Source organism: Homo sapiens, chromosome 3 (assembly GCF_000001405.40).
Source record: "Homo sapiens chromosome 3, GRCh38.p14 Primary Assembly".
In the NCBI taxonomy this organism is placed as follows: Eukaryota; Metazoa; Chordata; class Mammalia; order Primates; family Hominidae; genus Homo; species Homo sapiens.
This window is the reverse complement of record NC_000003.12, coordinates 136,979,430-137,002,158: the sequence shown is the minus strand read 5'-3', so window position 1 is coordinate 137,002,158 and position 22,729 is coordinate 136,979,430. Positions and strand designations below refer to the sequence as shown.

Below are 22,729 nucleotides of genomic sequence, written 5' to 3'. Positions count from 1 at the left end.
AGAAAATGTGGCACATATATACCATGGAATACTATGCAGCCATAAAAAAGGACAAGTTCATGTCCTTTGCAGGGACATGGATGAAGCTGGAAACCATCATTCTCAGCAAACTATCACAAGGACGGAAAACCAAACACCGCATGTTCTCACTCATAGGTGGGAATTGAACAATGAGATCACTTGGACACAGTGCAGGGAACATCACACACCGGGGCCTGTCAGGAGGTGGACTTGGGGGAGGGATAGCATTAGGAGAAATACCTAGTGTAAATGATGAGTTGATGGGTGCAGCAAACCACCATGGCACATGTATACCTATGTTTCAAACCTGCAGGTTGTGCACATGTACCCTAGAACTTAAAGTATAATAATAATAATAATAAAAGATTATTACTTGGTGATATAAACTTTAATGGAAAAAATTCTTAATGTCATATTTCAGAGTGCAACCATCACCTACTATAAAATTTTAGACGTAGACATGAAATGTTTCGTCCATACAGATAAATTAAACACAAACTCAGTAGACCCTTTTGAAGAATTGTCAAGGATTTCTGATTGGTAATTTTCCATGGTTTAGTTGGAAAGATGAGTTGACTTTGCAAGGATGGCTAGAAATCACTTTTTAATAGTTTGGGGTAGTATCTGTAAGTAACACACATGTAGAAATGCAGCTAGGCTATGCTAAAGTCATAGCGGAGAGAGGGGAGGTGGCAGTATTGATTCACAGCTCAAGAATTTGTGCGGGATTCAATGGACGCTAGTGATCTGCTTCTCACACAGCACTGTGGGGAAATGCATAGACTCAGAGAATTTGTCCACTTTAAAAATCTTAGCGTGAAGTAAGGATAAAAGTTAAAAGCCTTACGGAAGGGAATGCACGTAGGAACAGACATCAGAATGATGTAGGAAGAATGGTAACAGAGAACAGGGAAGCAAAAGGTAGTCAAGGGTAGTGACGTCTATCTGCCATGGATGAAATTGGTCATACTGTCACAGAGTCTTCCAGTCTCTGGTCTCATCTAAGCTATTTCGTTTTCTCCAAAAGCTGATTTTAGGGTGTGGCTCATGATACATCAGGATTCCTAGGAGATCTTAGCTGTTGAGGACTCTTCTTGTGTACCTGAAATCCTGTAAGTTATTAACCCTTTACATGGTTCTTTCCCTGTCTCTTTACCCTGTTCCTCACTAACAAGGCACTGGGTCTTGGGAAGATCTTCATTCCCCTGATCTTGAGGTAGAGAGAAAAACTCTTCTGGCCCCCTGATAGAACTAGTAAAGAAAACATAAGAGAGAGTGTTAAGAGTGTAGTTGCCTGTAAGAGTAAGCATGGGCAGCAGAGTTCAGAGAGAAATCACAACAGAAGACCATCTGATGGAGCCCAGCTGAGGAAGGCTGAGCTTTTCACCACGTATGAGAAAGAAGAGCTATTGATATGCCTCAGCCAGAAATGCTCCCTACCATTACCATCGCTTTGGATTAGGTCAAGGGATTCCTCTTTTATTGCAGGTTTCTACTTCCACTTATGTCAGGAGAGCACCAATCAGACCAACACTCCTCAGATTACAACTTTTAAAACTGACCCAAATATTAAAAACAGATTCCTTAAATCATGGTAGAGCAACTAAAAGTTCATGCTTGGAAGAAGGGAATGTCACTGGGTGAGTTTCCCATTTTTCACAGCTCCTTGCCTAAAGGCAGGTCCCACTTGGTGCCATAGTCTTACTGTTTTTGAAAAGCCAAAAAACAGAGACTGGTGCAAACACAGAAGTTAGAAAGTAAGAGGAAAAATCCCAAAAAGGAGAGAGCCAGAAAAGGGGAGCTGCAATTCTGTACATAAATTCTGCCCAAATATCTGATTGACCTTTGAACTGTGTGAGGTACAGGTGTGGGGAAAGCTCCTACCAGTCTGTCTAAGGCTAAACAGTCTAATAGATATCAACTGCCTACTGCATAGGAGACCAAAGTTGAGTCTTTCTTCTAAACTAACTGCTTACTAAAGCAAATAAACAAACAAAAAAAATCAATAGTTTTCAGAGGAACATAACTGAATCCAAAATCTCTATAACATATTGTTGGCAATATCCAGACTGTAATCCAAAATCACTAGACATACAAAATATAGGAAAATGTGACCTACACCAAATAAAAAACGATCAATAGAGGCCAACCTTGACATGACCCACCTGGTGAAATTAGCAAAGATTTTAAAGTAAAGCAGACAAAGGTATTTATAATGATGCTCAAAGACAGAAGAAAATATTCTCATAATAAATGACCAAATAGAAAATCTCAGCAGAGAATATTTACTATAAAAAAGAAACAAATGGAAATTCTAGAATTTAAAAACACAATATCTGAAATTTAAATACAAAATTCACTAGACGTGCCTAAAATCAGACTGGTGATAACAGAAGAGTCAGTGAACAAGAAGATAGGTTAATAAAATTATTCAATCTGAAGAATAAAGAAGAGGAAAAGAAGTTTTTTATAAAAATGAATGGAGTCTCAGGTATCTATGGAGACAATATCTGAAGGTCTAATATAAATAAGATTGGACTCACAGAAGGAGAGAAGAGAATGAGACAAAAAAAAAAAAAATACCTGAAGAAATATGGGCTGGGAGCAGTGGCTCATATCTGTTAAGCCCAACACTTTGGGAGGCCAAGGCGGAAGGATATCACTTGAGCCCAGGAGTTCCAGACCAGCCTGGGAAACATAGGGAGAACCCCATCACTACAAAAAAATAAAATAATTAGCTGTGGCCAGGTGCAGTGGCTCATGCCTATAATCCCAGCACTTTGGGAGTCCAAAGCAGGAGGATTGCTTGAGCCAGGAGTTCAAGACCAACCTGGACAACATAGCAAGACCCTGTCTCTACATAAAATTTAAAAATTAGCTGGTTGCTCTGTCACATGCTTGTAGTCCCAACTACTCAAGAGGCTGAAGTGGGAGGATCACTTGAACCCAGAAGGTCGAGGCTGCAGTGAGCCATAATCATGCCACTGCACTCCAGCCTGAGTGGCAGAGTGAGACCCTGTCTCTAAAAAAATAAAAAGAAAAAAAAAGGCTGAAAATTTTCCAAATTGTAGCTTAAAAATATATACATGTACAGATTCAAGAAGCTCAGTATACTATAAGCAAGATAAATATAATGCAAACCCCATCTAGGCATGTTATAATTTAACTGGTGAAAGCCAATGGTAATTTAAAACCAGCAAGAGAAAAAGAACACATTTCACATAGGGGAATGATGTTAAAAAAATCATGGATGTTTTCTTATCAAAAACAATGTAAGCTAGAAGACAATTAAACAATACTTTTAAAGTAGTAAGAGCTGGGTGCAGTGGCTCTCGCACATGTCATCCCAGCACTTTGGGAGGCCAAGAAAGAGGATTGTTTAAGCCCAGGAGTTCCAGACTAGCCTGGGCAACATAGCAAGATGCCATCTTTATTAAAATAAAATGTTATTATTTTTGAAATATTATAATTAATATTTAAAATGAAAATATAGTAAGAAAAAATTGCCAACCAAGAATCCAGCAAAAATATCCTTCAAGAATGAAAGCAAAATAAAGACATTTTCAGATAAAAAAAATCAAAGAGAATTTGTCACTAGCAGATCTACATTACTAAACCTATAATTAAAAAAAGTCAAGAAGTTTTATAAAATGACAGGAAGCCCACACCAGATGGAAATAAAGATCTCAGAAAAGAAGAAAGAGTTCCAGAAATGGTAAATATGTGGGTAAATATAAAAGATTATTTTAAATACCTTAAAAATATATATGACTATATAAAGCAAAAATTATTCCAAAATTCTTACATTTCATGTGAAATGATATAATATTAACTCTAAGTAGACTGTGAAAAGTTAAGAATATGTATATTGTAACTCTTAGGACAACCATGAAAAAGTAATGTGAAGAAGAATAACTAAAAAGTCACTAAAGTGAAATTCAAAAAAAATTTTTAATTAACCCAAAAAGAGGCAGAAAAAGAACAGAGGGGAAAAAAAAAAAAAAAAAAGAAAAGAAAATCATGGACCTAAATTCAACCATATCAATCATTATATTAAATGTTAATGGAGGCCAGGCACAGTGGCTCACACCTGTTATCCCAGCACTTTGGGAGGCCAAGGCGGGTGGATCACCTGAGGTCAGGAATTCAAGACCAGCCTGATCAATATGGTGAAACCCTGTCTCTACTAAAATACAAAAATTAGCCGGGTGTGGGGGCATGCACCTGTAGTCCCAGCTACTCAGGAGGCTGAGTCAGGATTCCTTAAACCCGGGAGGCAGAGGTTGCAGTGAGCCGAGATCATGCCACTGTACTCCAGCCTGGGTGACAGGGTGGGACTCCGTCTCAAAAAAAAAAAAGTTAGTGGACTAAAAATACCAATTTAAAGGCAGAGGTTGTCAGAATGGATTTATACCAAAAAATAATTATAACAGAAAAGACTGACTATATGCTGTCTATAAGAGACACACCTTAAATATAAATATACAGATAGATTTAAAGTAAAAATATGTAAAAAAATAAAAAAGATATACCATACAAACAGTGAGCAAAAAAAAAAAAAAGATATACTGATATCACACTAAGGAATATTACCAGAGGTAAAGAAGAACATATCATAATGATAAAAGACTCCATTACTTGGAAAATCATAACAAAATCTGAATACATTTAAATGTCAAAATATGAATACACTTAAAACAGAGCCTCGAAATACATTAAGGAAAATCTGACATAAAGAGAGAAACAGGCCAGGTGCAGTGGCTCACGCCTATAATCCCAACACTTTGAGAAGCCAAGGTGGGTGGATCATGAGGTCAGGAGTTTGAGACCAGCCTGGCCAACATGGTGAAACTCCTGTCTCTATTAAAAATACAAAAATTAGATGGGTGTGGTGGCAGGCGTCTGTAATCCCAGTTACTCAGGAGGCAGGAGAATTGCTTGAACTCAGAAGGCGGAGGTTGCAGTGAGCCAAGATTGCGCCACTGCACTCCAGCCTGGGCGATGACAGCGAAACTCCGTCTCGAAAAAAAAAAAGAGAGAGAGAGAGAAAAACAGATATGCCCACACTCGGTGGCATTTTGATATCCTACTCTCAATATTAAAACAACTATACAAAAAAAAATGACAAAGATGATCTGAACAATACCACGAAACATTTTGACCTAATTGATATATATAAAACACTTCCCCAATAACTGCAGAATACATATCCTTTTATGCTTCAAGGTACTTTGAGACCCTCACGTTCTTGCTAAAGGGTAATAAAGGCCCACCCTGTTTCCCAGGGTATGATATATCCCATTGCCTTTATGCATAGCAGTAAGCCATTCGTGATTCAGAGAAGGATGGAGGGGGAACTGATAAAAAGGACACTGCCAAGCTTTATGAAAAGAAATGAGTCAATAAATATAAAGCCTTAGAACAGTATCTGGCACTTAGCTCTGTACTAGTATCAGCTAACATCGTTATGACTACCTGGAAGTATGGGAAAGAAGGGAGATCTGGCATTAGGATAACAGAGTGGAGGGGTGTCCTGAAGACTGAATTATAGTAAGAATTATTCCTCCTGTTTAGGGAGAGAAAGCAGGGCCACAGGGATGTCACAAGGATGACTCCTTTCAGAAAGAGTGACTCCAGGCTGATAAGGAGCTATGGGCATGTATAAGTTGCAGGTAGTTCTGGCTTTAGTTGCTTTTCAGAAGCTGACACTGGCTCCCTCTTCCCAGGAGAGAACTGTGAGAATTCCCTAGGGTGACAGGGATGGGGCTTTTTGATTTTGTTTTTGTTGTTTTTGTTTTGTTTTGTTTTATTGCACTGCTTTGTGTGGTTGAGGTCTGGGGGTTGGCGGGAAACATCTGGAGAGGCAGCCAGAGAACATGGGGGAGCTGTTGGAGGCCTGCTTTTGTGTTTCCCCTACGATTGCATGGGTGCATGGGTCCTATACCCACTGGAGAGACCCAGACCTGTGGTCCAGGGCCCTCAGGAGTAAGATAAGAATTCTGACCTCATGAGGATCTGAGAATACAGGTAGGGTCCCCTAACTCAGGCAGTCACTATCAAGGTCCAGGTTGCTGTCCCTTCACCCCACCCTACCCCACCAAAATCAAAACACAGTCCATGCCTCCCATGTACATCTTCTTCACTCTGAGAACAATGAGGCTTTTGGCATGTGAATTGAATAAGTTGGGTTGGAACATGTTATTGGGTGTAGCTGCTGTTACAATTGTGGGAAGAGGCCAAGAATGCTCAGCAGGCCAGTCTGGGAGGGTAAGACCATGAGTGACTCCTGCAATGCTGAGCATCCTGGGCTGGGCAACACATCTTCTCTCTTTGCCATCCCAGGTCCTGGGAGAAAGCAGAAGTGGCTTGCCTCAGGAAGGTCACCACGCCCTGGAGAAGGGAGATTTCTTCCAGTACCTCTAGTTAGAAATGAAGTATTTTATAAGTATTCCTCTCCCCTCTCTGTGCAGATGCCTATAATCTCATGATAGAAACATGGAAACATGTGCCCATGCCCAGCTAAGGCCCAAACTACATCTGGTCAGTGTTATACTGAAAGGAATAAAGAACTACTCTATTACCAAGGTGTCTGGGAGGACCACCACGGGGCAACAGGAGTACTGGAGCAGCCGGCCCATTTTCCAGACGAACAGTGGCACGACCACAAGGATCAGCATGAAGCCAACAAAGGCAAACAGGGCCAGTACCAGGGGAATGGCCTCTCCTGGAAACAAAAGATAAAAACAGGCTTAGAAAACAGCAGCAAAGATTAAAACTTCAATCCTGAGCCTCCCCCGGTTTCCTGGAGTTGACTCTGCACATTGGCTAAGACGGCAGATAACAGAATCCTGAGATTTGATGTGTGCCCTAGTGACCAAAATTACCACCATTAAAAGCATTTTTCTAGAATCCAGATGAAGGCATGGTTTCCAGAAAGCCCCAGGGAAGATTAAAATCTTTTCCTTGTGACACAAAAGGGAGGAGTATCATGTGTTAAGCCAATTGCTGTGTTAGCACGTACCTTGGCACCACTGCCAGGAGGAAGGCAGAGTGCCAAGCCCTGGGCAGGATGAGGGGGAGGTATTGAAAGAGAACAGCACAGAATGGGGCTGGGCGGTAACTGAAAACAAAGTGTGTTTCACAATTCACTCTTGGCATTGATTCATGTTATGGAGGAAATTGTTCAGAAAACAGTCAGAAAATAACTACAATATATCAAGCCCCTATTTTGTAGGCTAGGGCTACTACTGCCTTCCAGAACTATGCTGGGGGCTGGACGTGTAGTTGCTTGTTCTTCACAATGAGTGTGAGTATCCCTGCTTTTATAGAAGAGGAATCTATGCTCAGAATGGTTAAGTGAGCTACCCCAGGTTACCCAGGTAGGACTGGCTCCAAAGCTCACAGTCATTCTACCAAATAATTGTAGCAGAAAAGGCCCGATCTGAGCATCTGGAGATGCAGAAGAGGGGACAGGTTATTTTCCCATCTCTCAGTTCTATGTAACCTTGAGCAACTCCATTAGCCTCTCTGGGCCAGGCTACTCACCTGCAATGTGAAGGGTAGCCCAGTCAATGAGACTGGAGAAGCTGGTGGACTTGTGGCTGGGGGCACTGTACATTGTTTCCATGATTTTGGAAAATATTTTGGTGGTATGCATCAAGAGATACACCAGTGTTCATACCCTTTCATCCACTCCTGCAATTTTTTATTTTTAATTTTTGTAGGTATATAGTAGGTGTATATATTTATGGGGTACATGAGATGTTTTGATACAGGCATGCAATGTGAAATAAGCACATCATGGAGAATAGGTAGCCATCCCCTCAAACATTTATCATTTGAGTTACAAACAATCCAATTACACTCTTTAAGTTATGTTAAAATATACAATTAGGTTATTGTTGACTATAGTCATCCTATTGTGCTATCAAATAGTAGGTCTTATTCATTCTTTCTGTTTTTTTCGTGCCCATATCCTCACTTCTCCCCAACTCCTGAAATTTTAATTCCAAAAACTAATTCCAAGGAAGGAAACAACTATATACATAAGTCAGTTCTTAGCAACATCTGAACTAGAGCAACAGCCTTTCATTTACATATATTGACATATAGATTTTTTTTTTTTTTGAGACAGTCTTGCTCTGTCACCCAGGCTGGAGTGCAGTGGCGCAATCTCGGCTCACTGCAACCTCTGCCTCCTGGGTTCAAGCGATTTTCATGCCTCAGCCTTTCCAGTAGCTGGGATTACAGACGTGCACCACCATGCCTGGCTAATTTTTGTATTTTTAGTAGAGACAGGGTTTCATCACAATGGTCAGGCTGGTCTCAAATTTCTGACCTCAGGTGATCCACCTGTCTCGGCCTCCCAAAGTGCCAGGATTACAGGCATGAGCCACCACACCTGGCTCTTTAAAAATGAGGGAGAACCATCATTCTGAGCAAACTATCGCGAGAACAGAAAACCATACACTGCATGTTCTCACTCATAGGTGGGAACTGAACAATGAGAACACTTGGACAAACAGCGGGGAACATAACACACTGGGGCCGGTCATGGGGTGGGGGTTGGGGGAGGGATAGCATTAGGAGATATACCTAATGTAAATGACGAGTTAATGGGTGCAGGAAACCAACATGGCACATGTATACATATGTAACAAACCTGCACTTTGTGCACATGTACCCTAGAACTTAAAGTATAATAAAAAAGAATGAGGTAGATCCATATGTATTGACATGAAAAGATGTTCACAATATACTACTGAGTGAAGACAAGCCAAGTACAGAGTAGTAGGTACAATATCATCCCATCTATGTGTGTGAGCATTGGTACCACACAGACAACGCCTGGAAGATTAAACGCCAGACTCACCAACGGAAACCTCCTGAGTGATGTGCAGGAGAATGGGGCACACTCACCTCTTTATTTATTTATTAAAATGAGACGAGGTCTCGCTATGTTGCCCAGGCTGGTGTTGAACTCCTGGGCTCAAGCAATCCTTCTGCCTCAGCCTCCCAAAGTGCCGGGATTACAGGTGTGAGCCACCATGCCTGGCCCTCCTCTTACTTTATATGCTTTGGTGTTGTTTGGATTGTTAAGCAAGCTTGACTTGTATGATTTTATAAAGTAGCATAAAATAGTAATCAGGAAATCTGCATGAAAAATGTTATGGATATGATATTTGTGAAAAAGCAGGCACAAAATGTGTATGTTATAGGACTACAGCATGTGCCTACACATGGCAATGACTGAAGGATGATGCCCTAAATGAGCTGAGCATGGTGGCTCACACCTGTAATCTCAGCTCTTTGGAGGCCAAGGCCCAGGCAACAGAGCAAGACCTTGTCTCTACATATGAAACAAAATAAATTTTTTTAGAAAGAAAAATAAATAAATAAATATACTATATAATTAAGATAATAATTCGTCTTTTTAAAAAAATAGTTCTATTTTTAAAGACTAAAAGGCTATACACAAAAATGTAACTAGTGATGTTTGAGTGACAGATCATGGGATGTAGGCTCTTGTTTGGTTTTGCTTCTTTTCAAAGGGTTTTTAAACATTGTAGGTTTTCTGACCTTAAAATATTCAAGGGAAAAGAGTAATTCAAACAAGAGGATTCTCTAGGCTTTCCATAAGGTCCCTTCCAGATGAAGAAGGCTGTGGTGTTATACAACGTAGCACCTCCTTCCAAGGTCTGACCCTCTGAAGCCTGTGGCTGCCTCTCCTGCAGCCCACTCTGATTCACAGGCAGTAACCATCTGGTAAACCAGTCTTGCAACACCTGGCCCCCAGGCCTAGGAAGCTTTAAGGGGGAAAGTGTTTCAGACAGCTGCTCGTAACCCCACCCAGCCCCAGGGTGGACTCCTGCCTCTAGGGGAATCAGATTCACAAACATAATTTCACTATGGGAACCCACCCAGTCCATGAGGGAGGTCAGTGAAATCAAGGAAAAACTCAGAACCAAAGGAACCCAGCAGGCCTCTGAGATATGCCAGGAGGGGCTATCACCTGTGCAGGGCTCCAGGGACAGAGAAGCCATCCTTACCTTGCACCTCCACACATTCTGTCTGGCTGAAGGCGCTGTACCTCCCAATGGCCTTCACGAATGTCTGGGCCTTCACACAGTATGCAGCCCCTGGCTCCATGGTTTCTAGGTGCACTGGAATACCCCCACTCCTCACCATTTTGACATGTTCCTTTGACAGACCAGAAAACACAGTTATTGGCCAAGTGCGGTGGCTCACGCCTATAATCCCAGCACTTTGGGAGCCTGAGGCGGGCGGATCACCTGAGGTCAGGAGTTCAAGACCAGCCTGACCAACATGGTGAAACACCCCATCTCTACTACAAATAAAAAATTAGCCAGGCATGGTGGTGGGTGCCTGTAATCCCAGCTACTCAGGAGGCTGAGGCAGGAGAATCACTTGAACCCAGGAGGCAGAAGTTGCAGTGATCCGAGATCGTGCCACTGCACTCCAGCTTGGGCGACAGAGCGAGACTCTGTCTCAAAAAATAAAAGATAAAAAGAAAGCAGTTATTCCCAGAAGGCAGCAGGACTGGAAAGGGCAAAAAGTGCCAGGGAAGGAAAGTTGCAGATACTTCCTTTCCAGATGCACACAGAATGTTCCCTCTCACACATACATTCATTCAGGCACTCATTCATTCAATCATATTTATTAAGTACCTACTATGTGCTAGGCACTGCTCTAAGCACAGGGACCTAGCATTGAACAAAATGGACAAAGTCCTTGCTCTCATGGGGCTTACATGGGGTGAAACAGACTATAAAAAAATACACATCAGGTGGTGACAAGGACTGTGAAGGAAAAAGCAGAGCAAAGAGATGGTAACGAGGAGGCACCATCTTAAACAGAGTGGTTAGAGAAGGCTTCTCTGATAGGGTAACATTTGTGCAGAGACCCTGACTTGAGCAGGGGCTTGGCATGGCCACTGCTGCCAAGGAATCAGTGTGCAGTGGAGCCACGGGCAGCACCTCCTCACTCATCCACCCATCTGTCCATCCGTCTGTTCACCCTTCCACCTCCATGCCCCTCCCTGAGGCTGTGCTCTGCATCTGATCCTGTGGAGGCTTGCCTGGACCAAGCCTAGATGACTCAGGGTACATGCTCCCCTCTTAGCCCTGGCCCTGCCAGTTACCAAAGGTGGGTAGTGGGCTCCATCCCAGCGAATCTGAGGGAGCTGCATGCTTCCTCCTGCACAGGCTCTGCCCTGTCCCCAACACTACTCCATCTGCCTGGCTGGCAATGCCATATCCTACCGTGGGCTCTTGCCTAGCAGGGGTAAATACCGAAACCCAGTGTTGTACCTGCCCACACCACCTTTCATGGGAAGCTACCCAACCTACAGCCCTCTTTGAATGGGTGGTGAGGCATGTGCTCTTAGTCCAGATACTGCTATAAGATCAAGGGTACCCTTGGCCTGAGAAGGGTCCAATCAGAGGCGAGCTGGCTACCAGCAACCCCTGAAGCTTGGCCTGATAAGACGAGCAAGACCAATTGGATTCTTCTTCTGAGGATTTGGTCTTGGGAAACTGAATACCGAGAGCTAGAAGCAGGGACAAAGGAGAGAGGACACAGTGAGGAGAAGTCAGGCCTGAGAGGCCTCGAGAGGCTGGGGGCACATCATAGGCATGAGTAGGAAGCATTGATGAGGGATCACAGCCTGGAATAAGCTAGGAAAGGGCCATAGAAAGTGTGCAAGAGCAGGGACCCACCAGAGGGGAGCAAGGGCCCTGGGTAAGTGAGGCTGGAGCCTGGCCCTCTGCCAGCTGTTTATAGATCTGTGAGAGCTCCTTATTGCACCGTATTAGTCCTTGTGATAAAGCCTATCTTTGCTTGTGCTGCCTGGAGTGGGCCTCTAAGCTTTGTCATCATATGCTTGGACAGAGGCTCCACAGGTCTGAGTGTCCCCTAGTTCCTGATCGTGCTCCACTCCTCATACTGCTGCTGCTTGTCTGGCTATTCCCTCTGTGAGGGCTGGCCTCCCACCCATCCCAGGCTGTAGCACCCTTCCCATGGGGAGGGCAGCACCCCACCTGAGCATTCTGCATGGCCCACCTGCTCATAGTTAGATGGGTTTACTCATAAGCCAACTCCTGGATCCCTGCCTCTACCTCTTCACCCTGCCAAGACACACACCCTCAGGAGGTTTGTACCAGCGTTGTGTGCTTTTGAAATCATCCTGTTGATCTACAAATCCTGATTGCTGCCCCTAAGTGGCTGAGGAGATGAGCTGATGAGGGAGAAAAAAGGCATTGAAAAGATATTGTGGTCCAACTATGTTAGAGTTTAGGGTAAGGGGGCAGCCCCATACTTCAGCAGATCTGGCCTGGAAATGCTCCCAGCCAAGGCATGATTGAATGGACCAAGGAAGTTCTTTGGAGAAGAGGCTGATGGGGTGGTCAGCATACTCATCTTTTGCACACTTCACCCAGGACTGCTCATCCCCAGGTCACCCAGTGAGCAGGGGCAGCCTTCCCTTGCTCACCCTCAGAAATCTGTGCCTTCTTTCCCGAAGCCTGACCCAAAGGCCAAGGCTGGAGTCTCACCTCGGCACCAGGCTCCCTCCTCCAGTAGGCCACAAGGAACTCAAACTGGGGCCCCAGGTCCTCCAGCTCAATAACCAGGTGGAAGCCATCTTTGGTGATCTCCATCCCAGGTCGGGTAAGGATGGCTGTTGGCAAGACAACAGGAGAGTCAAAGCCAGCCCCAGACAGGGTTGATTTCCCTGGAACACAATGACCGGGTCATGTATGGAAATATGTCCGTCTCCGTAGGAGAGGAAGGGAGTCTGCTGTAGCTTCAAGCTCATGGAAACATGTACACAAATACTCTCCTGTATGCAGCAGGTGCTCAGTAAATGCTTTTTGAGTGATGAATAAATGAAGAAACAAATGACAAATGCTATAATTCTCTTCTTTTTTAATCCTTTAATAAAGTCCACTGTTCCTTCTCCAGGAGGCACATATACACAAGAAAAGTGATTAAAAACTCCAGTAAACATTATCTCTTGCTCTTTTAAAATTTTATGATCCATGCCCCTCCTGTCACCACTTTTTCAGCAGAAATTGCTCCTCACTTTGGCTCATCTAAGTGAGCAGATGCTATATTTTAATGCTTGCCAAATGCCTATGTGAGCTCAGGTCTATACTGAACAGCCAGCCCCAGTCTTTGCCCCTTAGGAATGAGCATACCTGGCAGGGCCATGTGCATTCCCACAGCTCACACAGATCTGTGGCATGTACTGGCTACTGATAACTTTCACATATCAGCAGATGAGCAGCCTGTGAATAGGGTTGGCCATTCTATTCTCAGCCCAGTTCTCAGCTGGCAAGTCACCGGCTTTTTTTTTTCTTGTTTCTTTTTTTTTCAGACAGGGTCTCACTCTGTCACCCAAGCTGGAGTGTATAGTGGCACTATCATGGCTCACTGCAGCCTCGAACTCTCAGTCTCAGGTAATCCTCCCACCTTAGCCTCCCAAGTAGCTGGAACTACAGGCACACATCACCGCACTCAGCTAATGTTTTTTGTATTTTTTGTAGAGATGGGACTTCACCACATTGCCCAGGCTGGTCTCTAATTCCTAGACTCAAGCAGTTCGCCCACCTCGAGCTCCCAAAGTGCTGGGATTACAGGAGTGAGCCAATGTGCCCAGCCCACAGGCTTTTTACAGATTCCAATAATCAACTCTAGAAATTACAGCATAAGTACAAACATCATCTTCCATATTGCAAGGTCCCCAGCAGAGAGGCCCACAGCCCTTGTGGATACCTTCCCATCAGCAGACCAAGAACAGAAGGGCCCACACAGATAGTCTCTACACCCTGGTTACTGGTGATGGAGTTATACTTGCCTTTCAGACCCAGATACTGCAGGACCAGAAGGGCCACCCTGATCACTGGTCTTGGATTGGAAAGGGGTGGGGCATGTTCTGGGCTAAATCTGCCTTCCCTGGGGTCAGTGTGAGAGGTGACAGCATGCTGGCAGTCCTCACAGCCCTCGCTCACTCTGGGCGCGTCCTCTGCCTGGGCTCCCACTTTGGCCGCACTTGAGGAGCCCTTCAGCCCACCGCTGCACTGCGGGAGCCCCTTTCTGGGCTGGCCAAGACTGGAGCCGGCTCCCTCAGCTTGCAGGGAGGTGTGGAGGGAGAGGCGCGAGCTGGAACCGGGGCTGCACGCGGCGCTTGCGGGCCAGCTGGAGTTCCGGGTGGGCGTGGGCTTGGTGGGCCCCGCACTCGGAGCAGCCGGCCGGCCCTGCCGGCCCCGGCAATGAGGGGCTTAGCACCCGGGCCAGCGGCTGCGGAGGGTGTACTGGGTCCTCCAGCAGTGCCAGCCCACCGGCGCCGTGCTAGATTTCTCACCGGGCCTTAGCTGCCTTCCCGTGGGGCGTGGCTCGGGACCTGCAGCCCGCCATGCCTGAGCCTCCCACCCCCTCCATGGGCTCCTGTGCGGCCCGAGCCTCCCCGATGAGCGCCACCCCCTGCTCCACGGCGCCCAGTCCCATCGACCACCCAAGGGCTGAGGAGTGCGGACGCAGGGCGCAGGACTGGCACGCAGCTCCACCGGCAGCCCTGGTGCGGGATCCACTGGGTGAAGCCAGCTGGCCTCCTGAGTCTGGTGGGGCCTTGGAGAATCTTTATGTCTAGCTCAGGGATTGTAAATACACCAATGGGCACTCTGTCTCTAGCTCAAGTTTGTAAACACACCAATCAGCACCCTGTGTCTACTAGCTCAGGGTTTGTGAGTGCACCAATCGACACTCTGTATCTAGCTACTCTGGTGGGGCCTTGGAGAACCTTTGTGTCTATACTCTGTATCTAACTAATCTGGTGGGGACGTGGAGAACCTTTGTGTCTAGCTCAGGGATTGTAAACGCACGAATCAGCGCCCTGTCAAAACAGACCACTGGGCTCTACCAATCAGCAGGACGTGGGTGGGGCCAGATAAGAGAATAAAAGCAGGCTGCCCGAGCCAGCAGTGGCAACCCGCTCGGGTCCCCTTCCACACTGTGGAAGCTTTGTTCTTTCGCTCTTTGCAATAAATCTTGCTACTGCTCACTCTTTGGGTCCACACTGCTTTTATGAGCTGTAACACTCACCGCGAAGGTCTGCAGCTTCACTCCTGAAGCCAGCGAGACCACGAGCCCACCAGGAGGAACGAACAACTCCAGACGCGCCGCCTTAAGAGCTGTAACACTCACCGTGAAGATCTGCAGCTTCACTCCTGAGCCAGCGAGACTAGGAACCCACCAGAAGGAAGAAACTCTGAACACATCCGAACATCAGAAGGGACAGACTCCAGACGCGCCACCTTAAGAGCTGTAACACTCACCGCGAGGGTCTGCGGCTTCATTCTTGAAGTCAGTGAGATCAAGAACCCACCAATTCCGGACACAAGTGGACACTCAGAAGAAAGGCAGTTCCTACAGGGAGTTTTCAGAGAACAAAGCCTTTCCCCATCGCGTCCCTCATCAGAGAAGTGTTTATGCCTGCTTGTTGAAGAGCTACCTGGACAGGGGTCAGGAGGACTTGGGAAGCCAGGGCCAACTGTGCAAAACACACTCAGTCCTGAGGTTCATATGACCACATAGCACCACTAGCACTACCTCTGAAACACCTTCAGAAGGGAAACAGATATTTGACTCCTCAACTTTTCTGTCAGATGTCATCAGAATTGGGTCTTCTGATCTCCATCTTTATTGAGACCAGAATTAGAGAAAATAATCTGAAGTTTCAGTTCAGAGAAGAGTTGTTTGACAGCGTTGGGGCAGGAACCTCTGTCCTATGCCTTCTGCATGCTTATCTCATTTAATCTGCCCAGGAAGCTTTAGAAGGTAAACATTGTTCCTGTTTTATTTTTATTTATTTATTTATTTATTTATTTATTTATTTATTTATTTATTTGAGATGGAGTCTCGCTCTGTCGCCCAGGCTGGAGTGCAGTGGCCCGATCTTGGCTCACTGCAAGCTCCGCCTCCCAGGTTCACACCATTCTCCTGCCTCAGCCTCCGGAGTAGCTGGGACTACAGGCGACGGGGTTTCACTGTGTTAGCCAGGATGGTCTTGATCTCCTGACCTCGTGATCCACTGGCTTTGGCCTCCCAAAGTGCTGGGATTACAGGCATGAGCCACCATGCCCAGCCTAACATTGTTCCTGTTTTACAGAGAGATTAAGTGACATGCCCAGAGTCACAGAGTTAATCTACAGAATTTGAGCCCATTTCTTTCTACATTTCTACCTCCCTTGTGTGGGGTGTTTAGCCTCTTTGCTAGTGGATCTCAACCCTGGCTGTACATGAAAATAATCTGGGGAGAATTTTAAACTCCCAGTGAATAAGATGCATGCAGATCATTTAAACCAGACTCTCTGGGGAAGAGCCCCAGGCATAATTGATTCTAAAGCTCCCCTGTGACTCAAATGTGCAAAGTTAAAAACCTCTGCTCTCAATAAAAAGTTTCCCTTTAAGAGTGGGGACCCTCAGCCAGGCGTAGCGGCTCACACCTGTAATCCCAGCATTTTGGGAGGCTGAGGTGGGCGGATCACCTGAGGTCAGGAGTTCGAGACCAGCCTGGCCAACATAGTGAAACACTGTCTCTACTAAAAATACAAAATTAGCCAAGCATGGTGGCACATTCCTGTAATCCCAGCTACTTGGGAGGCTGAGGCAGGAGAAACGCTAGAACCCAGGAGGTGGAGGTTGCAGTGAGCTAAGATCATGCCATTACACTCCAGCCTGGGCAACAAGAGCGGAACTCCATCTCAAAAAAAAAAAAAAAAAGAGAGAGAGAGAGACAGTAGGGATCCTTTTCAGGAGAGCCTTAAATCAAGATTTTTCACATTCCTGGGGAGAAGTCTGAGTGGCCTTTTTCAAATGGAAGAGGACAAACTTAATGCCCTTAAGAGATCATGACACCATCCCAGCCTATTTGCTTGGATATCATAGAACCGTATCTTCCATCTTCTGATGCAAGTACAGACTCCTGTTCCTCAGCTGCCCCTGCAGCAAGCTCTTTTCCTGTTTATACAGGCCTTCGTAAGTACAAGGTTTTACAGCACATCCCCACCCACATAGTTTTGTAGGCACTCCCTTATCTTTATGTGACCCATGCCTGCTTTCCAGCAACAGCTGCCAGCCCCCAGCAATGGTCTTGGCTGGATCCCCATGCTCTTAGGAGCCAGAGGGAGGTGGTGCTGAATGCTGCCTGGGCACTGCAGGTAGTGGCAGTTTTGCAGTGCCCTACAGGGCCCCTTAATCTCCCCCAGATCCTGCCACTTCGACCAACTCCTCTTGGACCAAATTCAGCCAGATGATCATCCTCTCCATTCCATGAAGTCATTCCATTCCATTCCATTCCAGTCCTGGTGCCTGGGAAGGAGGCCTGGGCAAAGGAGCCCACAATCTGCACCAAAATTCCTTTTGGTATCCCATTCCAATGGTCCTATTCCTGCCCCATCCCTTCCCTCCTCTGCTCTTCAGCTTGGGCTCCTCTTCTTCTAAACCTTCCTAATTTCCACCTAATATCATACATTCCTCAGTAAATTTTGACTCATCCGAATGCTGCAAATTCTGCCCCAAACCTTCTTCCACCATCTTTCACAACAGAAGCTCTTCTGCCACATCACGAAAACAGAGACCAAAGAAGACCCTTATCTTGCCTTTCCTGCAGCTCTAAACTGGTTACATTCCCACCCATTCCTTGCTCCTTCCTACCTCCATGCAATCCTCCACTCCAGCAGCCAGATGGTCATCCTTTCCACTCCATGAAGTTACTTTCTCAAGGGCCCATCCAGGGGCTTCCTCCAGCCTCTCAGGAGCTGTTCTATTCTCCTTTCCATTATCCTCTACCCTGGTGCCCTTCCCTCCATCCACATTTTAAAGTCTGAGGTTTTCCAGGACCTTGTCCTCTCTTTATCTTCAGCGTCTTGTCCCTAAACAGTCTCGTCTACTTCCAAGCCTTTAGCTGTTAACTTTGTGATGGCCCTGTGCGATGGCTCATTCCTATAATCCCAGCACTTCGTGAGGCTGAGGCAAGAGGATCACTTAAGCTCAGGAGTCCGAGACCAGCCTGGGCAACATGGTGAAACCCCATCTCTACCAAAAATACAAAAAAATTAGTCAGGCATGGTGGCATGTGCCTGTATTCCCAGCTTCTTGGGGGCCTGAGGCAGGAGGATCGCTTGAGCCCAGGAGGGCAAGGCTGCAGTGAGCTGTGTTGGCACCACTGCACTCCAGCCTGGGCAAAAGAGCAAGACTCCACCTCAAAAACAAAACAAACAAACAAACAAAACCACTTTGTGTTATGTATCTGCCTTTGAGCTTTCTAAGCCTCAGGGACTGATTTCCAGCTGCCAGTCAGACATCCACAAGATGACATCTTGTAGAAATCTCAGTCTCAAAGCCGGGGGTGTCTCCTATTCTTCAAGACCAGTTGTTTCCCCCTGGGTTATTTGCCTTAGCTGGTGTTCTCACCAATTCCATTTGACAGCTGAATACTATCATTATCTCTCCCTTTTCTGTCCCCACAAACTTGATTCCTAAGCTCTGTCCTTTCTAAATCAGCCATGTTTCTTGGATTCATCATCTCCTTCCCATCCCCTTCCAAACTCTTGGGATCAGTAGGAGTATTACAACCCCCTCCTCACTCTTCCCCTGTCCTGCAGGCTTGCCCTACTCTGGTTCACTTTCCACACAGCAGCCAGAGTGTTGCTTTGTAAGATAGACCTGGTCGGCCGGGCGCCATGGCTCATGCCTGTAATCCCAGCACTTTGGGAGGCCGAAGTGGGCAGATGACTTGAGGTCAGGAGTTCCAGACCAGCCTGGAAAACATAGTGAAACCCTGTCTCTACTAAAAATACAAAAATTAGCCAGGCATGGTGGTGCACGCCTGTAGTCCCAGCTACTCAGGAGGCTGAGGCAGGAGAATCACTTGAACCCAGGAGACAGAGGTTGCAGTGAGCTGAGATCACGCCACTGCACACCAACCTGGGTGACAGAGTGAGACTCCGTATCAAAAAAAAAAAGAGATAGACCTGGTCTAGATCCTCTCCTCTTTCATTGGCTACCCTCTACTGACTTGGTCAAGCTTCGTGTCAAAGCCCTTCACCACATGATCAACTGCTTCCCTACCCCCTGCCCATCAGCCCTTGCCTCTCCTGTTCCGCAAACACACATGTCCTTTTATACAATGACCAGTGCTTGTACTCAGCCACATTTGGCCACCTATCTGGATTCCTCTATTACTTCTTTCTCAATCCTTTTCCAGGTACTACTCCAAAAGAAAAGTTATTTATTTCCCACAGAAGTCATTACAGAAGGGCAATTTTCTGGTGGCTCTGTTAAGTGTATAAATCCTCTTGCACAACAAAGCTGCTTACGTGGGCAGTAAATATGCAGTTAATGAGGCCTCAAGTGGGAGGCACAATTTATGGAGGCACAATCAGAGTAGGGAGCAGCAGTCCTGGTGCCACCTCTTCACTTCCAGAGCAGCTTTCCTTCCAGGTTCCCAATGTCAGCATCCCCAACACCTGCACACCCTGACACAGACAGTCAGGAATGACTTGAGTAGTCAAAGGGCATGACAGAGAGCAGCATGTAGAAAGCAGTTGGCAATTTTTCAAATATACCAGTAAGGGTTGTTTGTGTTCACAATACTCTGGCTTTGCAGGACTATTCTGATGCTAAAAAGAGTCTAGAAAGTTTAGGTGAACATGGTTCCTAAAGGAGGGGCTGGTTGGGGTGGGAGTGTAAGGAGAGAAGTGCCTTACTTGAGTTTCTATTAAAGGGATGCTTCAGGATGCTCCAGGCTGAGGTCTGTGAGCCCAATGTGGCCCTGACACGAAGGTTGTATGGCACAGTGGCCGTGATGTCATCAGTGACATCACACTCAGGACCTTCAGTGAGTGAGCACCAGCTGCTGGGGATCCAGATGTGGCTCGTGTACAGGCTCTCGTACTCCCTGTCAAAGAGAGGAGGGCACAGAGTTACACCAGCCCCTCTGACACAGGCTCAGTTATGGTTGCAAGTAACTGACTTCGTTCACCTACTTTGTACAGGTAAGTAAAATAAGTACTTTCTCATTATCCTAGCTCCTCCACTCTCCTCCCTACCAACCATCCATCGTCCCTTACTCCTTTTATTGCCAGATAGGGAAAGCTAGGCATAAACATCAATGTGTCTGGATCTCTTTTATCTCTTCATCTCCAGGGTCATCACCCTAATCTCAGCCACTGTCATTCCTTGCCTTGCTGTGATCTCCCAGCTTGGACACCTGCCATTCTCAAAACCATTCACCACTCAGCAGATTGTGACGTTTCTCTCCTTAATGGCTTCCTACAGGACTTAGAATGGGATCCAAACTCTTGCCAGTGGTCTTACAAGATGCTTTGGCCTTCTCTCTCACTCTGCTCCGAAGCGTGATATTCTTGCCACATTGGTCATTTCTCCAAAATGCTGAGCACTTTTTGCCTTAGGACCTTTGACTAACTGTTCACTCCATCTCAAACGCTCTGCCCCTGCTGTTCGCATGGCTGGCTCCTCTTGTCCTTCAGATATGGCATAAATATCACCTCCTCAGAGAGGCCATCCCAGGCCATCTAATATAAAGGAGCCTCAGTGTCAACTCTCTATGGCATCAGCCTTTTAGCTTCCTCCTAGCACTGATTACTATCCAAAATTCCCTAGAGCAGTGCTTTCCAAAAATAAACTTTCTGTGATGATGCAAATATTCTAAATCGATGTTGTTCAATATGGTAACCACTGGCCACATGTGGCTATTGAACACCTAAAATGTGACTAGTGTGGCAGGAAACAGACATTTTAATTTAATTTAATTTAATTTAATTTAATTTAAATTTAAATAGCCAGCTGTGGCTGGTGGCTACCATACTAGAGAATGCTGGCCTAGTATATTTATCATCTGTATCCTCCTCTAGATGTAAGCTCTCAAAATCCAGAAACCTTGTCAACTGTATCCCTGAGCCTAGAAGAATGTCTACACATGTAGGTGTTCAGTCTGTATTCATTGTTAATGAAATATATGGAGCAATTTCTGTGTCCTTATCACTATTCAATAGCTGCAAGCACCTGAACACCTGGAGAAGACTAGAGCCTGCTCAGCCCCAGGGCCAGCTGACCTTTAGGATTATAGTTCGTTTTGGCTCTAGGTATAAGCTTATAGTCAGGAAAAGTGAGGACTCCTCCACCCTTAAAGGATCTGAGTCTCCAGTGATTTATCCATCTCAAGTCAGAGTCAAACCCATTGGACAGTTGATTCACTTTTTAAAATAACTCCACCAAAATGTGTTATGCACATTCATCTTCCCAGAGAGTTCACTGTCAAATCCACAGAACAATTTCCCTTGCTTCTTCAACTCTTTCAATGCCTATGCAGACAGAGGGGGTAGATCTTTGGGGATAATCTATCCCTGGACTCAAAAAGCCACCTTGGGCTCAGGAGGAAGGGCTATGCCTTCAGGAACCAACTTCTGCTTAAGGGAGAAGAACTATTAAAAGAAAAAACTCACCCCTGGTATTCGACAGAATAGTACACTGTTTCTCCAGGCGCGATCACTGGGCTCCACATCAAGAGATGCTTCATGTTGGTTGAGAGTACAGAGAGGTTCTGAGGGGCAGGCAGAATGGCCACTTCATCTAGGATCAAGGCAGATAGCCTGGCTGACAGGTGGGCTCATAGTGGGGGAATGCCATAGCTTCAAATTAGTGTCTAATGAAGGGCCTCACTGGCGGAGGTTGCAGTAAGCTGAGATTGCACCACTGCACTCCAGCCTAGACAACAGAATGAGACTCTGTCTCAAAAAAAAAAAAGCCTCACATGTTTATAAACCAGAAACAACTCTAATTTTATCATGCTTATGTTAACACTAAATTTTGGGTACCACCATTATAATTCTGACTTTGTTGATAAATGACATATCAATATTAATAATAATAATGACTAATATTTATCTAATACTTACCATGTTCTATCTAGACCATGTGCTGGATTGTTACATGACTGTCTTATTGAATTCTCATGACCATACTGGGAGGTAAAGACCATTAGTTTTTCCATTGTACAAATGAGAAAACTGAGTCACATTATTTATGACTCTTCTGTTAGACTGGCTAGGATCCAGTGACTCTGCCACTTACTATGTGGCTTTAAGCAAGTTGCATAAACGTGAGCCTCTTAATCATTCATGGAAAACCAATGCAGACTACTGCAACATTCTCATCACCTCCCTCTCCTGCTACTGCCATCCTCAGATGCCAAAGCAATCGTTTCATGTCCCTCAACAAGGCCAAATGGGTCATCAGTTGCCAGGTGGGAAGTACAGGCTCAGATCTGCTGTGGAGAGAGTCCATTCAAGTGGGACACCAAGCCAGCTCTGTGAGTCCACCCCGGAAAGACTGCAGGCCCCTGAGCCAGTCTGGGACACAAGTATGCCCCGAGTGTACCCAGACACAGTGTGCCCAGAGTATGCACACAGTGGGACTATGATTTGTAGAGAATGAAAGAGGCCTATGAAGCTGAACCTGCTCATAAGGACTTTGGGCAGTCACAAAGCCAAAAACTTCATCCTCACATGTCACCCAAAGGTACAGTCTGAACTCTCTGCTATGTTCCTGTTTAAATGCCCAACACCTGCCTCCCTTTGCTGTTACAGTGCAGTGATAGCATCTACAG

The 22,729-nt window shown here is 45.7% G+C and overlaps 1 protein-coding gene and 1 long non-coding RNA gene across 8 annotated transcripts in view, besides 1 other annotated feature; one reads left to right on the top strand and one right to left on the bottom strand.

Annotated features, from left to right (window-relative positions):
• IL20RB (interleukin 20 receptor subunit beta) overlaps positions 1–22,729 on the bottom strand; it is a 53,103-nt gene that overhangs the window by 8,927 nt on the left and 21,447 nt on the right. For 3 of the 5 annotated variants that reach the window (NM_144717.4, XM_011512910.4, XM_006713665.5), the window contains exons 2-6: positions 21,567–21,693; positions 19,809–19,999; positions 12,594–12,718; positions 10,071–10,221; positions 6,603–6,745 (exon numbers count right to left, since the gene is read on the bottom strand). In NM_144717.4, coding sequence (NP_653318.2) covers positions 6,603–6,745; positions 10,071–10,221; positions 12,594–12,718; positions 19,809–19,999; positions 21,567–21,693 — 737 coding nt within the window. Of the gene's footprint in view, positions 1–6,602; positions 6,746–10,070; positions 10,222–12,593; positions 12,719–19,808; positions 20,000–21,566; positions 21,829–22,729 lie in introns of all 5 variants that reach the window. The other 2 variants (XM_011512911.3, XM_017006632.1) reach the window with 1 other exon arrangement.
• Positions 6,958–7,252: a silencer, noted in NCBI's record as "tiled region #14292; HepG2 Repressive non-DNase unmatched - State 24:Quies". NCBI's record gives its function as "represses a minimal TATA promoter and a strong SV40 promoter by Sharpr-MPRA in HepG2 cells {active_cell/tissue: HepG2}" and the evidence as "EXISTENCE:reporter gene assay evidence [ECO:0000049][PMID:27701403]".
• IL20RB-AS1 (IL20RB antisense RNA 1) overlaps positions 19,968–22,729 on the top strand; it is a 36,206-nt gene continuing 33,444 nt past the window's right edge. For 2 of the 3 annotated variants that reach the window (NR_183728.1, NR_183729.1), the window contains exons 1-2: positions 19,968–20,096; positions 22,309–22,641. This is a non-coding gene — a long non-coding RNA (IL20RB antisense RNA 1). The remainder of the gene's footprint in view (positions 20,097–22,308; positions 22,642–22,729) is intronic. The other variant, NR_183727.1, reaches the window with a different exon arrangement.